General features: G+C 40.4%; 1 annotated feature.

The window, feature by feature from the left end:
- Positions 9,225–9,425: a silencer, noted in NCBI's record as "peak6174 fragment used in MPRA reporter construct". NCBI's record gives its function as "represses an SCP1 promoter by STARR-seq MPRAs in K562 erythroleukemia cells {active_cell/tissue: K562}" and the evidence as "EXISTENCE:reporter gene assay evidence [ECO:0000049][PMID:32103011]".

Here is a 15,366-nt window from a genome sequence, read left to right on the forward strand (position 1 = left end):
AACTTCCTTAAAGCAGTAATCTGGGTCAATTATAGGACTGACTTCATTTGTTTCCTTTTCTCTGGAATGATAATCCTTTGATGTCTATTGTCCAATGTCTAACATTATTGTATCACACTTTCTGCTCAGTGTTCTAGTTGTTTAAGGCAGGGGGATCAGTTAGGTGCCTGTTACTCTATCATTGATGAAAGGAAAAGTTCTCCTATGTCTTTTGTCAAGTCCCCATCAGTGTTTGATTACCTTTGCACTTTCTGACACAACTGGATATTCTAGGTTAAAATTATTATTTCGCTAGTCCCATACCCAGAATCAGCCGTTTCTCCAAGGAGCTCTTGTTCCTTTAGTGGGAAATAGCATTTGGAAAACAAGATATGGGTACTAGATGTGCTCATTTACACTGTGGCACCATTTAATCAGTGTGCTTTTATTGGATAGATTTAGTAAGTATAATTTCTGAAATCATTGCTCTATACTGATATCTTGAATTAAAATTTAACAGCATTCTCTTCACCTTCTTCAGACCATATTTATATCCCTCTTTTGCTACAACAAGAACCATGGTTCTCAAAACATCACTATATTTATTTACTTACTAAGTACATATGATATAATTTCAGAATTATAACATCAATACCATTACCACAACAAACCTACTAGGTAAAGTTTAGGATTCTTTTCCAATTATTATTGTCTTCAATATATTTCCCACAAAGTATGAATAGTCAGAGTACTGTGTTCAAAAGTTATTTGGATTTTTTTCTATGTGATTTTGTTATAAATTTGATAATACAGTTAAGTTTATTTCTTGTTTTTATTTAATTTTAGAGCTTGCTTTTATCTCACCATTTTAGTTCAATTTTATTTCTTGAAAATGAGTAACCTTTACTTGATACAAAAATCATAGCCATCAGAGAACCCCTCTCCTATCCCAAACTCCTCTCCTGCATTCTGTGCACCTGTAGAGCAAACCATTGACATTACTCATTTATTTTCTCTGTAGAGTAAACCATCTACATTACTGATATATTTTCTCTGTGTGTTCTTTTAAATGAGCAAATTTGCATTTAGGAGTGTGTGTTTATGTATTTGTATTCTTATTCCTTATTTTTCCATATACAAAATATAACACATTATATATGCTACTTTTTTGTTTTGTTTTTTGCACATAACAATGGAAATGTACATATAAGATGTCTCTTATGCATCCAATTATAGATATCAAATAGGTAAACTGAGCATAGAAATATGGAGTTCAAGGGAAAGATGAGAGCCTTGAGATTTCTTCCTGGCAAGTTTCTCTACTAATTATTGAATAAGACTTCCTTATATTTTTACCCTGCCAATTATCAAAGCCTGCTTCACTTTGGTTTTGTTCAAGTTAACTCCTCTTGAAATTTTTTGTACACTACTTGAAAATAATAACCAAAAGTCTCTAAAGCACATTTTGAAAAGACAGACTTCTCTTTATACTGACGAGTTAGAATTCCATTATTCTCAATTCAATTGACCCCATTTTTAAAAACTCAATTCTCTTTATGTATGACCTTTGAGAACTTTCCGAGTTAACCACAGCTTGCTTAATTTGAGGAGGCCTATAAATGAAATTGTTTCAATTTGGTTTCAACTTCCTTATTTCTTCTAAACATTTCTCTAAAGATCTGGAACATTTTGAATTCTATATTTGCTCCATAAGCAGATTTCCACAAGAGCCAACCTGAAATTGTAGGAAAAGGAGGGTTTCTGTTGTTTCGTCAAATGAAATGATTTCAGTGTAAAATAGACATAAAAAGCAAACAAACAATAACTGTATTTACTGAAGAACTGACATTGAAAACCTGTTACTCGCATTACACAATAAGAGTAACTGATGTTAGTATATTGCACTGTTTTAGAGCAATTCATTGTCGTGGCCTTTCTATTCTTTCAACAGTGTAATACTACTAAGTAGAAAACCTAGATGAGGGGCTGAACAATTGCACATCTGAATAAATCAGAGCTCTTGCCTTCAAAGGGCTTTCTTACAGTTGAGGAGACAACTATATTCACAAGTATTGTTAAACTAAGAGGTATTGTATATCATCATGAAAAGAGCCTTAAATAAGAGGCAATGAGAGTTTAGTAACAGGTGCATTAATTCTGATGGAGGGATTTGATAAAATTCATACAGGACATAAGACTGAATCTGACCCTTTGAAGGCTGAGCAGGACTTTGACAGCAACAAGTGACAATTGGTTTTTTGTTTTTTTTTGTTTTGTTTTGTTTTTATTATTATTATACTTAAAGTTTTAGGGTACATGTGCACAACGTCTGTTGTAACACATGACACAGCAAATGATAGAAACTTTAACTGAGCCAGTTGCAGTGGGAGTGGAGAGGACAGGAAGGTCAAATGTCCAAAAATAGGAGGATTTAGTCAAATGTCATTCACAGTCCCACATTGCACTTTTTTTTTTTTTTTTTTCCCTGAGACAGAGTTTCACTTTTGTTGCCCAGGCTGGAGTGCAATGGTGCGATCTCAGCTCACTGCAACCTCCGCCTCCTGGGATCAAGGAATTCTCCTGCCTCAGCCTCCCTTGTAGCTGGGATTACAGGCACCCATCACCACGCCCAGCTAATTTTTTGTATTTTTAGTAGAGATGGGGTTTCACTCTGTTGGCCAGGCTGGTCTCGAACTCCTAACCTCAGGCGATCCACCCACCTCAGCCTCCCAAAATGCTGGGATTATGGGCATGAGCCTCAGCGCCTGGCTGCACATTTTTTTTTTTAATAACCTAAACCTTGGAGATGCTGAGAAAACAAAGTGAGTTTTGGGGGGATTTATTCTACCTTTCTTACAGAGTTTTCATGAATATCAACAAAAGTGAATGTGAAAAATAGTTTGTTTATTGTGTGGTGTTCCTGTTATTTCTATTAACAAAGGGAACAATAATAATATAGTTATTTAAAGGTGTTATTTTTTCCTTTGTGAAAACCTGGAAGTAAAATTGAAACCAAAGGCCGTAGTGAGTTTTGCTGTAGAAAATAATTCTACCACCAGTTTCAGAGTAAACTGTAGCTCCTGGGATTGAATACATTGGGTTCTACGACTGTACAAAAAGGGCCTCTGAACTCATATTTTAGCAGGAGAACTAGTTTTATTTCCCAGTGAGAAAGGAAACCATTGCAACACAAATAGTTCATTTTTCCCAGGGGTACAGAGTGGGTTCTGGTAATTCGGGGTTTTCAGGAATCTTTATTTTCCTCCTGTTCCTCAAAAAGACATGTGAAGACAAGTCATGGCCCAGAGTCCAATTCTATGACCAGTTTCATCTCTTCCACCCTGCACAGGCTGCACAACCTCCGAGGGACACATTCAGGCATACATTTCCCAAATAACATATTATCATCACCAGTATCATCTGCAAAGCATTTTGATAAATACCTGGTTTTACATGACTGCCCTTGTCAGGGCCTGCTGGTGTAGATAACCACGGACATAGACCTTACTAATTCAGCTCAATGGCTCAGGGCAATATAGGTTTCTGATAAGCAGGGAAAGCAATAATACCTAATATTTATCAAATGCATATTACATATCCGGACTCTCCTATAGCAGAGTCTCATTTTGTCTTATTTAATTTCGGCTTCAAACCACCATTTGAGTAAAGCCTTATTCTTAACCTTATTTTACTGATGAGAAAACTGAAGAAAAGAGTGATTAAATTTCTCATCCAGGCTGGGTGCAGTGGCTCACACCTGTAATCCCAGCACTTTGGGAGGCTGAGGCAGGCAGATCATCTGAGCTCAGGAGTTCGAGACCTGCCTGGCCAACATGATGAAACCCCGTCTCTACTAAAAATACCACAAATTAGCTGGGCATAGTGGCAGGTGCCTGTAATCCCAGCTACTCAGTAAGCTGAGACAGGAAAATCACTTGAACCTGGGAGGTGGAGGTTGCAGTCAGCCAAGACTGCACCATTGCACTCCAAACTGGGGAACAAGAGTGAAACTCCATCTCAAAAAAAAAAAAAAAAGTATCTCATCCAAATTACAGTACTGTGTGGTGGGGCCAGGGATTTTCACCCCAGCAGTGTAGCTTCAGAGTTTATATTTTTAACCACTGAAGTTAATTGCTGCCAACAACGTATTTCATGAATTAAGAATAGGAAGGACTTATAGCTGGTTGGAATCTAAGAAAAGAAACAGAGAATTCCATGTCTGGATATGGGTTAAAGAGATCCTGGCAGCCTCTCAAAGGAGAGAGGAGAGAGCAAAAAAGCCAGGCTTGGGTTTGAATGAAAGCTTTGCCACTTATTAAGATTGTGACTTTTGGGGGATACTTAGCCTCTGCATATCTCTGTTTCTTTATCTATAAAATGAGGATGAATGTAGCACATACAGCAAACAACTGAAGTGAGATTTATAGAACTAATACAAGTGAAGAGTCTATTAGTAGTAATTGGCACATAGACTATGTTTAAATTATTATTATTTTTAGAGAAAGGGTCTAGCTCTATGGCCCCAACTGGATTGCAGTGGCATGATCATAGCTCACTGCAACCTTGAAATCCTGGGCTCAACATATCCTCCTGCCTCAGCCTCCTAAGTAGCTTGGACTACAGACTCACACCACCATGCCTAGCTAATTTTTTCTCTTTTTTGTAGAGATGAGGACTCATTCTGTTGCCCAGATTGTTCTTGAACTCATGGGCTCAAGCAACCCTCCTGCTTTGGCCTCCTGAAGTGCTGAGATTACTGGCATGTGCCATCAAGACAGGCCAAAATTATTATTATTATTATCATTATTTTGAGACAGGGTGTTTTGTTGTCACTCAGGCTGGAGTGCATTGGCACAATCACAGCTCACTTCAGCCTCAGCCTCCTGGGCTCAAGTGATCCTCCTGTCTCAGCCTCCCAAGTAGCTGGGACTACAGGCATGCACCCCTATGCCCAGCTAATTTTTTAATTTGTATTTTTTTTTTAGAGATGGGATCTCACTAGGTTGCCCTGGCTGGTCTTGAACTCCTGGACTCAAGCAATTCTCCTGCCTCAGCCTCCCCGAGTGCTGGGATTATAGACGGAGCCACCACACAAATGAGAATTTGGCTACCAGGCAGCTCCTCTGAAGAACAGCACAGTTTATCCTCATACTATAATGTGTGTTCACAGGTAACAGAACATTCTCTCCTCAGACAGGGACATATTTGGACTGAGGAAGAATTGAGGAGAAGGAGCAGGCGTTTGAGGAATTGAAGGCCCACCCCAGCCAAGACTCCAGCTCTCCACCATAGGATCCTCAGCTATGACATTGAAGTGCCCTCTGAATTGGCTTCCTTCCTTACCCAGGGTTCTGGCTTGCATGGTAGATTCTCATGGTAGATTTAGGCTCCTCCTCAGTCACTTCCTCCTGCAGCAGCCACAGAGCAGTCCTGGGTACCTGCCTCTCACTGGAACACAGGGAGACGTTGTCTCGTCCCAGGCATGCCCTGCTTAGAAGAGAATCTCAGCCTCTTAGAAAATGAAAATAAAGCTGAAGGAAAGTAAGAGTATTAAGGCATCATGAGGGTTCATAACTCAGACCAGAAAATGTCTGAACAGATCTGATTTTAACTCCTTGCTTACCAGATGAGGAAACAAAGAACAAGGAAAATGATTTGCCAAAGATTACTTAAGCAGGGTGCAGCAGAAGAGGGCATTCCTGATGCACCAGATTCCTGGAGCAGCGATAATTGTTTTTCAATCTGTGCTCCTCAGAGCCCCAGGGCTTCTCTGATGTCCTTCTGAGACCTCCAAGAATGAAGGGAGCAGGAAGGCTCCCAGGCATTTCTTCAACCCATGCATCCCCACTTGGAGTGGTTCACATGTGGGGCTTCTGACTGAGACTGATTTTGAAGGAAGGGCTCCAGCACCCAGGGAATGTCTGAGAACCACTGTCTTAGACGTTGCTGCCTCACAGACACTCATCATTAAACAACTTGAAGAGAGTGAACTAGAACATTCTCCGACTTACAGAACCTTTTATTATTACACAGGCCAGGGAAGTCGGGCAATTATACTTCAGGTCATCAGATAAATGTTCAAGTAGACCCAAAGATAAAAGCATTCAAAAACTTCAGGATGTTTCTCTGCAGTTCACATGTTTTACGAATTTTACTATTGTTCAAATTAACGGTAAATAATTTGTCTGAACAGGACAGATATTAATAGAGCAATAAAGATAATATCTTCAACAAATATTTATCGAGTGCCTACTCTGAGTGTCTTGAGCTTTGCCTGTAGCCTGAATAAATGTCTCATTCAAATATGCTACATTTTTCCAATGCAGCCAGGTGATTTTACCACTGATAAAATCCAAATGTAAAATGTTGTTCAATTTTTCAGAACCTTCAGTTATAGTAACATTTTCTCAGCCAGCATTTATATTTTTAGTTGAAAAAGATACATTCTCACCTGTAAAAAAAAAAAAATTAGGGAACTCTGGTTAGACTGCAGGACAAGAATGAACATTAAGTAATACATTCTGCTACTCCATCAACCTAGACAGGGGAAATTATCTGAGTGTTTCTAGGTGATTTCAGGTCCTCAACTCTATTTTGTTTTTTGTGAGACTGGTCATAACTGTATTTCACGTGTTATCACTCAAATTCAACCAAGTCTTCTGTGCAGAAGGCCTCAGAGAATTGAGCTAGTTACATTATCTGGATATTAATTAAAATAGAAATCTTTTGAAGAGAGGTATGATATAATGTTTTTATTTCTCCCCACTACACAAGGACCCTGTGACTCTATGGGATGGCAAAGCCCTATACAGCAATGTGAGCACTTGCTTAACATAACAGAGATCATAAAAGATGAGCAAGCGCAACAGAGCAGATAACCTTGTCATTTGTCATAATTAACAAGAATGTGGAGGGGGTGGTGGGCAGTTTGATAAAACTGGATGGAAACGAAGCTGCCCATTCAGTGTTTACTTGGTGACTGGAGGAAATCACTGGCTGGGCTGGGCTGTAGGGATAGCCTAAGGTAACTAGGACATCACCACACTAACACCTCAGGAATATCAGGAATGTTGGAGAAGCAGTATCTTTTGTGTGGTGCTTCGTACTGCTGGTGATCTCCAACCCACAGTCTCTGCGGGGACCATGAGGCTAGCCGGAGCTTGGGGGAACATCCTCTTGGGAGTGAGAAGGCGGTCTAGAGTGAGAGCCAACATTGTGGCAGGGAAAGCAGTGCCCGTGAGCAAAGGGCAATGCAAGGAGAGGACCAGAGGATGTATAGCCAGGTCAGTGGCCTGGAGGTCATTGAACAGAAGGGAGAGCGTGAAACCCCAGATGACTTGGATGAGAATCCCTTTGTCCTGGGTCTCCCCTGCTGAAACATGGGCAGCTACAACTCTTAAAGGTGTCTCATGGGCTAAACTGCCCATGGAATGAGTCACAAATACAGCTTCTGCAGGAAAAGCTATCTCTTTCCAGTGGACTTTGAATAAATACCCTAGATGTCAGGAAAACTCCTAATACTTTCTCACCCAAGGGCAACAGTGTTCTACTGCTCTTAACCTTCTTGAAACTGTAGGAGAGTTACCTTCCCAGATGACAGGTCCTTCTTTTGTCAAGTTATTTGATCCAACCCTCAGTGAGGCTCCTTCCAGAATTCGTACAGTGTTACGGACTGGATTGCGTCCCCCCGTCCCCTGCAAATTCATATATTGAAGCCCTAACCTCCAATGGGATGGTATTTGAAGACAGAACCTTTGGGATATAATTAAGTTAGATGGGGTCATGAGAATGGGGCCCTCATGATGGAATTAGAGCCCTTATTAAAAAAGGAAGAGAGGCCTGGTGTGGGGGCTCACACTTGTAATCCCAGCACTCTGGGAGGTTGAGATGGATAGATTGCTTGAGCCCAGGACCTTGAGCCCAGCATGGACAACATGGCGAAACTCCATCTCTTCCAAAAAAAAATTACAAAAATTCGCTGGTCATGGTGCCACACACCTGTAGTTCCAGCTACTAGGAAGGCTGAAGTGGGAAGATCAATTGAACCCAGGAGGTCAAGGCTGCAATGAGCCGTGATCATGTCACTGCACTCCAGCCTGAGCAACACAGCAAGACCCTGTCTCCAAGAAAAAAAGAAAAAAAAAAAAGGAGGAAGAGAAATCAGGGAGCAGGTCTCCATCTGAGAACATAGTGAGAAGGTGGCTGGTTGGATGCAAGCCAGTAAGAGGGCCCTCACCACACAGTGAATCTGCCGGCACCTACATCTTAAACTTCCCAGCCTCCAGAACTGTGAGAAATAAATGTCTGTTATTTAGGCTACCCAGGCTACGATATTCTGCTATGTCAGCCCAAGCAAACTAATACATACAGTTACAGCAGTAGTACATACAGGTCAGGTAACTCTTGACAACATGTTGGTGTGCACTACCTTCCCTTTATCTTCTCAGATCCACTGAAAAGTATTTTGCGAATAGATGGAGACATGTGCAGGGCTTTTGAAAGATTCCCACAGCTCTTGGAAATCGATACTCTAAGCACTATTGGGATTTGAGCATGTAAGCTCACGTTAGCTCATTTTTCTGGTTCAACTCTTGCTAGCTAATTTTTCTGGTTCAGGGATTATATAAAAGGATCTTCAAGAACTGAGCAGAAAAGAATCATACCAAACTGGATTAACTGGGGCTCCTCAAGTGAGGGCAAGTCCAGAACACCTGCCAACCATTAAAAATTGTGACCTACTGTCATTGTAACAAATTGCATAAGACCAATTTGGCAGAATTCCAGGCAACACCTCACTTAGGACTGGGACCAGGAAATTGCTAACGACATGCCAAGAAAAAGTGGATCTGAGTTGCAAGGTATAGCCCCCTTCTCCCTGTGTCAGATCCTTATTTGTTTATTCCCATGTGTGTATGACATTTTGGATTTAGAGGTTCACATTTTAATCTGTTTATTAGCATTCCTTCAGAATAAATGTGAAAATCTCTTGCCTCATAAAGTTTTAAACATGTCATTTCCCAGGGTGGGGAGGTGGGGGGCTGGGGGAGTGGGAGAATGAGGAGAGCAGGCAGGGAGCAAAGTTGTAATGGGAAAATGAGTATGAAATCCCATTCCCACAGACTCTGCAGTTTGAAAACAATTGGCTTCAAGCTCTGCGTTGTTTCCTTTCCCTCGACTTCCTCTTCATATCAGTAAACCCCAATCAGGTTTCTCAAGTGATCGAAGGTCAACTTATCAGCATCTGTTCCATGTGGAAAGAATCCCTCTTTACATTTTTTGATGAGTGCATCATAAACCTTAATGTTTCAAAAGCAAAGGAGATCAACAGCCCTGCAGACCCCCTGGGGATTTGGTGATGCGCAACTCATAGCATGAAACATCTGAAATAAATCATATTCGCTGTGTTTCCTATTTATGTAATTCAGGAAGTGCTGTTTGCAAAGAACCCTGTGCTCTCAGAGATAAGGAAGGTTTTCTGCACTGTTCAGAGTTTTTAGATAGACCACTGGAATTTTGCACAAGATACAGAGCCTGCAGTCCTAGGCAGAACAGACAGGAAGCTGTTCTTAAGGTGTCATCAGCCACTGGAATTGTTTGTCAGGACCTGGGAAACTTAGATAGTCGAGATTGCTTTGTGCACCTGATAGAGGCTGCTGTGTGTATGTATAGATAAACTTACATGTAAGTACATACCTAGCCATTGCTGTGAGATTTCACTCATGGAAGCAATATACATAGTAAATGAAGCAGATCAAACTGTGTTTGGTAGGTCTGCATAAGAAAGCAGGGTCAGATTTGACAGCCCAGTGTCTGGTTAGAGGATCAAATGCATCAGTAGATAAATTATTAATCATTTTTCTTTATGTGACTTGAAACACATTCCCACCCTGAAGCAAGGTAGGATGTAAGCAATAAGGTAAAGCATGATGGTAAGAGTTGTGATGTCCGCATTCAGGATGCTTTTATTTTAGAGGACCATTGTGTGGGGATGTGGGAAGGTGTGGGTGTCCGGGGGTTGCCGGTTGGGGAGTGGTGTGGAGTGGAAATATCTACATTATGAAAAGATGACATGAGTAGTCCCAAACAGGGGACAGGCAGAAACATTAAAATGCTTCTGCTATGATGTTCAATGGAAACAAAAGCAGAAAACAGAAGTTAAACACATCAAAAAGCAGGCAACGATGACTTCAGTGCAGAAAGTGTGTTGCTATTAACATGGCTGGCAAAAACATAAATGAATGCAGTTATATTTTTGGTGGACGGTCAGTCTTCTCCCCTCTTATTATCATAGTTACGGTGCACAACTCTTCTAACAGTGGGCAGTGTAGTTCTTGCTTTCTTTGTAATTGCTTTGAAATGTACATCAGAGGTGTTCTGATGTTAGGGAATTATTTAAACCGAAAGAACACCTGGAAAGCAGACTGGTTTTCTTATTCCTAGAGCTTGTTCCTAATTGTAACATCCACATATTTTCTTTGGCCACACAACCTCCTCTTCATGATTTCTGTATCACAAACACTTTTTGTATTTTAATGTTTGACTTTAAAAAGTATTTTCTTAATGATAGACTTTGGGTTTGTGGGGACTTCACTGGTCATGGCAAACACGTGCTTGCTCCCACAGCCTATGGGATCCTACTGAAGAAAGTCATGTTTCTGTTCTTTAAAAAAATGAGATCACCTGCACTGAAAATTCTGCCTATTGAATCATAGCCATTGCTTGGATTGAATTTCTAAGTGTAATATGTGGTTTCTCTCCTTCTCTCACATGTGTCCTGTCCTTACAGTATAATCTATACCTTAAAAACAGAAGTGTAACCATTGCTTATGACTTCCACCTCTGTCAGCCTAGTCCAAGTTTCCATCATGTCTTCCCTGAACAGCTGAATGGCGCCTGATTGGGCTCCCAGCTTCCACGTTTGCACACCCTGGAGAACATTGTCTACAGGGTAGCCAGAAGGATCTTTTAACATCCTGTTATTACTTTGTGAAAGGCAAGAAAGAATCTTGAAATGATGGATTGGAATTGGAGGTACTGATGTGGATTCATGATTTGTAAAATGTGTGTTTGTGTATACATTTGTATCTACATGCATGTAAAATGTGAACACACGCACATTTCCTGGCTCTATCTGCTGAATGAAACTAGGAGACACGCACGGTGACAATGTGACCACACCTAGCACCCAGATCTTGATTTCTGACACCCTTCTCCACTAAAAAGAATTAGGGCTTCTCAATGAAATGATTGTTTCCAGGTCTGGGATACAGATAATACAATAAGATACTGAAAAATCTCTTTACCCGAAAAATTAAAGAAATATCTCCCCATCAAAAATGATAGGGACTTGTCAGAAGGGCACAGGGAACAACTTGAAGGAGCCCTCACTAGAAAATTTGAGAAATTAAATAATTAAGGGCAGTAATTACTAATAAATCATTAAAAAACCGGAATCCATAAGTCCATACCAATAATAGATAATGAAATAAAAAATGATGAGGTTTAGCTGGGCATGGTAGCTCACACCTGTAATCCCAGCATTTAGGGAGGTCGAGGTGAGTGAATCACCTGAGGTCAGGAGTTCGAGACCAGCCCGGCCAACATGGTGAAACCCCCATCTCTACTAAAAATACAGAATTAGCCCGGCATGGTGGCACATGCCTGTAATCCCAGCTACTCAGGAGGCTGGGGCAGTAGAATCACTTGAACCCAGGAGGCAGAGGTTGCAGTGAGCCGAGATCACACCACTACACTCCAGCATGGGCGACAGAATGAGACTCTGTCTCTAATAATAATAATAATAATGATAATGATAATAATAATAATGAGGCTGGGCACGGTGGCTCACGCCTGTAATCCCGCACTTTGGGAGGCCAAGCTGAGAGAATTGCTTGAGCCCAGGAGTCTAAGACAAGCCTGGGCAACATAATGAGTCCTTGTCTTCACAAAAAAGTTAAAAAAAATTTAGCCAGGCATGGTGGCACACGCCTATGATCCCAGCTACACAACAGGATGAACTGGAAGGGTTGCTTGAGTTCAGGAGATAAAGGTTGCAGTGAGCCATGATCATACCACTATACTCCAGCTTGGGCGACAGAGCAAAAATCTGCCTCAGAAAAAAAAAAAAAAAAAGATAATGAAAGGAAATCTCTGGCTATAAATGTGGCAGGAGTATGAATGAAAAATCATCATTTCACAAATGTCTCAGTAAAGACAAATTCAGGTAAGAATCAAGAAATGCTGAATCTAGGAAGTCAAGTGTACTAAGAATCAGGATATTTGTATGATTGCTTATTGGTTGCAAGGAGAAAATAGAGACAGTACTGTGGACAGACCATACAACACTTGAGTGGATGGTTTAAATCAATATCTCCAACGAGGGGAAGATGGACATCGTGTCCCTCCAGATAGGATACCCTGAGAAGGGCAAACGTCAGTTCTATGTTATTTCTTCCAATAACGCATAACCTAAATCTAATTATGAGGAAACATAATGAGGATCACCCTATTGGAAAGGGGTCAGGGAGTGGGTGGGGATAAGAGGGAGGATGCTACATGCTTTGAGACTGTCAATAGTCATAAAAGCATTTTTTAAAAAGCTGAGAAATTGTTCCAGATTAAAAGACATAAAAGATACATGAAAACTAAATGCAATGTATGATTATAGACTGGCTCCTGTACGGAAGAGAAAAAATGCTGTAAAAGGAGTTATTGACTCAACTGATAAAAGTGGAATATGGATGATAGTTTGGATATAAGTACTATATTAATGCTAAATTTTACTGAAGCTGATAACTATTCTGTAGTTATGTAAGGTATATCAGTTAGGATTCTCCAGAAAACTAGAACCAATAGAATGCATGCACATATACAAAGAGATTGATTATAAGGAATTGGCTCATGTGATGATGGAGACTGGCAAGACCCAAGATCTGCAGGGTGAATTAGCAAGCTGGAGACCCAGGAGAGCCAATGGTTTAGTTCTAATCCAACTATGAAGGCTTTAGAACCAGGAGAACTGACAGTGTTATTCCAGTCTGAAAGCCAGCAAGTGCAAGACACAGAAAGAACTGATGTTTTGGTTTGAGTCTGAATTAAAAAAAAAAAAAAAAAGGCTAGCATTTGAACTGACTTTGCCAGTTCAAAGGCCTTCAGGCAGGAAGAAGTCTCTCACATGGTAGAGTGCCAGGGCTTTTGTTCTGATTGGATGTGCCCTGCCCACTTTAGGGAAGGCAATTGCTTTACTCAGTCAACTGATTTAAATGTTAATATCATACAAAAGAATCTTCACAGAAACAGGAATAATGTTTGAAGAAATATCTGGGCACCCTATAACCCAGTCAAGTTGATATAAAATTAACCCTCATATGAGGAAATAGCCTTTTTATTAGGAAACACATATTGAAATGTTTAGAGATTAAGAGCCATGCTGTATGCAACTTGCTCTCAAATGGTGGAGACAAAAATGTTTTAGAGATAAAGATAGTAAATGGTGATGCAAATTGGGCAAAATGTTCACATAAGTGAATCTGAGTAAAGGGTATAGAGCTATTCTTTGTATTCTTCACCTAAGTTTTCTGTAAATGTAAAATTATTTCCAAATAAAAGTTTCTTAAAAAGCCTTTCATTGTCCTGTTAAAAGTACTCCAGCTGCTTCCCATTCACTAAGAATACACCTGACTTTCTTTATTCACCTGCAGCACTGTTGGGGGATCAGCCTCTGCTCACTCCTCATCTCAGCTGATCCTACTCACCTCCCCACATAGAACCTTACTCACCCTGCACACTCTCTGCTCCCAAGATATGCCAAGTTCAAACCTTTACACTTACACTCTCTGCCTCTATGCCTTTCCCCCAAGTCTCCACATGACTGCTCCTTCCCGTTGCTCAGATGTCCTGTCAAAAGTCATGTATTAGTCTGTTCTGTCACTGCTATAAAGAAATACCTGAAACTGGGTAATTTATAAAGACAAGAGGTTTAATTGGCTCCCAGTTCCATGGGCTGTACAGGAAGCATGGCTGGGGAGGCCTCAGGAAACTTTCCATTATGGTGGAAGGGGAAGCAGGCATGTCTTACAGAGGAAGAGAGAGAATGGGGAGGTGCCACACACGTTTAAACAACCAGATCTCATGAGAACTCACTCACTATCACGAGAACACCAAGGGGGGAATCTGCCCTTTTGATCCAATCAACTCCCATCAGGCCCTTCCTCCAACATTAGGGATTACAATTCGACATGATGTTTAGGCAGGGACACAAATCCAAACCATATCACGTCATTTTCCCAGAGAGGGCTCCTGACTACAGAAGCTCATCTTCAATCATGTTTCTCTGTTTCGCTTTCCTCTCTGGTTACCATGTTGGCTCACTCCTTTGCTTGTTTATTATAGTCACTGAGATATAAATTTCAGAAAGGCAGACATCTCATTCATCCTGTTTACTGCTATATCTGTAGTCTCTAAAACATTGGGTGGCATATGGTAAGTCCTGAAGAAATATTTTTAATAAGTGGATAAATGTTTAAGTGCCTAGACCCCTCAACCTTTTGAAACTGAAATATTTAATCCATTAGCTTTTTGCCCTTCTTTACATATAGGCTTTCCCAGTTTGCAGCAAGAATTTTAATGATAAATATTATGATGTTTCAGATAGCATCAAATATAGACTATTATAATAGAGGAGTTTAAAAAGTATTGGTTGAGGCCAGGTGCAGTGGCTCACTCACGCCTGTAATCCCAGCACTTTAGGAGGCCAAAGTGGGCAGATCCCCTGAGGTCAGGAATTTGAGACCAGCCTGGCCAACATGGCGAAACCCCGTCTCTACTAAAAAAACAAAACAAAAACAAAACAAAAATTAGCTGAGTGTGGTGGGATGCACCTGTAATCCCATCTACTTGGGAGGCTGAGGCAAGAGAATCAATTGAACCCGGAGTGACAGTGAGCTGAGATCCCGCCATTGCACTCCATTCCTGGGCAGCAAGAGTGAAACTCCATCTCAGAAAAAAAAAAAAAGTACTGGTTGATAATAATAAACTTTTTTTTTCTAAGTAATTCTGATAGTCTGAAAATTATAGATTGACCTAGTAAATGTGAAAAAGACAATAGACTTAGTAATAATAAGAAAATTCCTTGGGAACAGGTCCTTGCATTCCAAATATCTAGTACACTATCTGGAAAATAGTAAAGCAATCATAAATGTTTAACAAATGTAAGAAATAACCTATCAACAGCCAATAGCTCAGAAGCAAGTCACTCCAGAGAAAGTAAAATAAAGCAAGACGGCTAGTTTTGCACCTTCAAATATTAAAACAGATTCATTCTTTTTAATTAGAAGAAGAACTCATGAGAGTTAGAGGTAAAAATTCCCCAATAAGACAGGAACAACG

This window comes from Homo sapiens, chromosome 6, assembly GCF_000001405.40.
Source record: "Homo sapiens chromosome 6, GRCh38.p14 Primary Assembly".
Taxonomy (NCBI): Eukaryota; Metazoa; Chordata; class Mammalia; order Primates; family Hominidae; genus Homo; species Homo sapiens.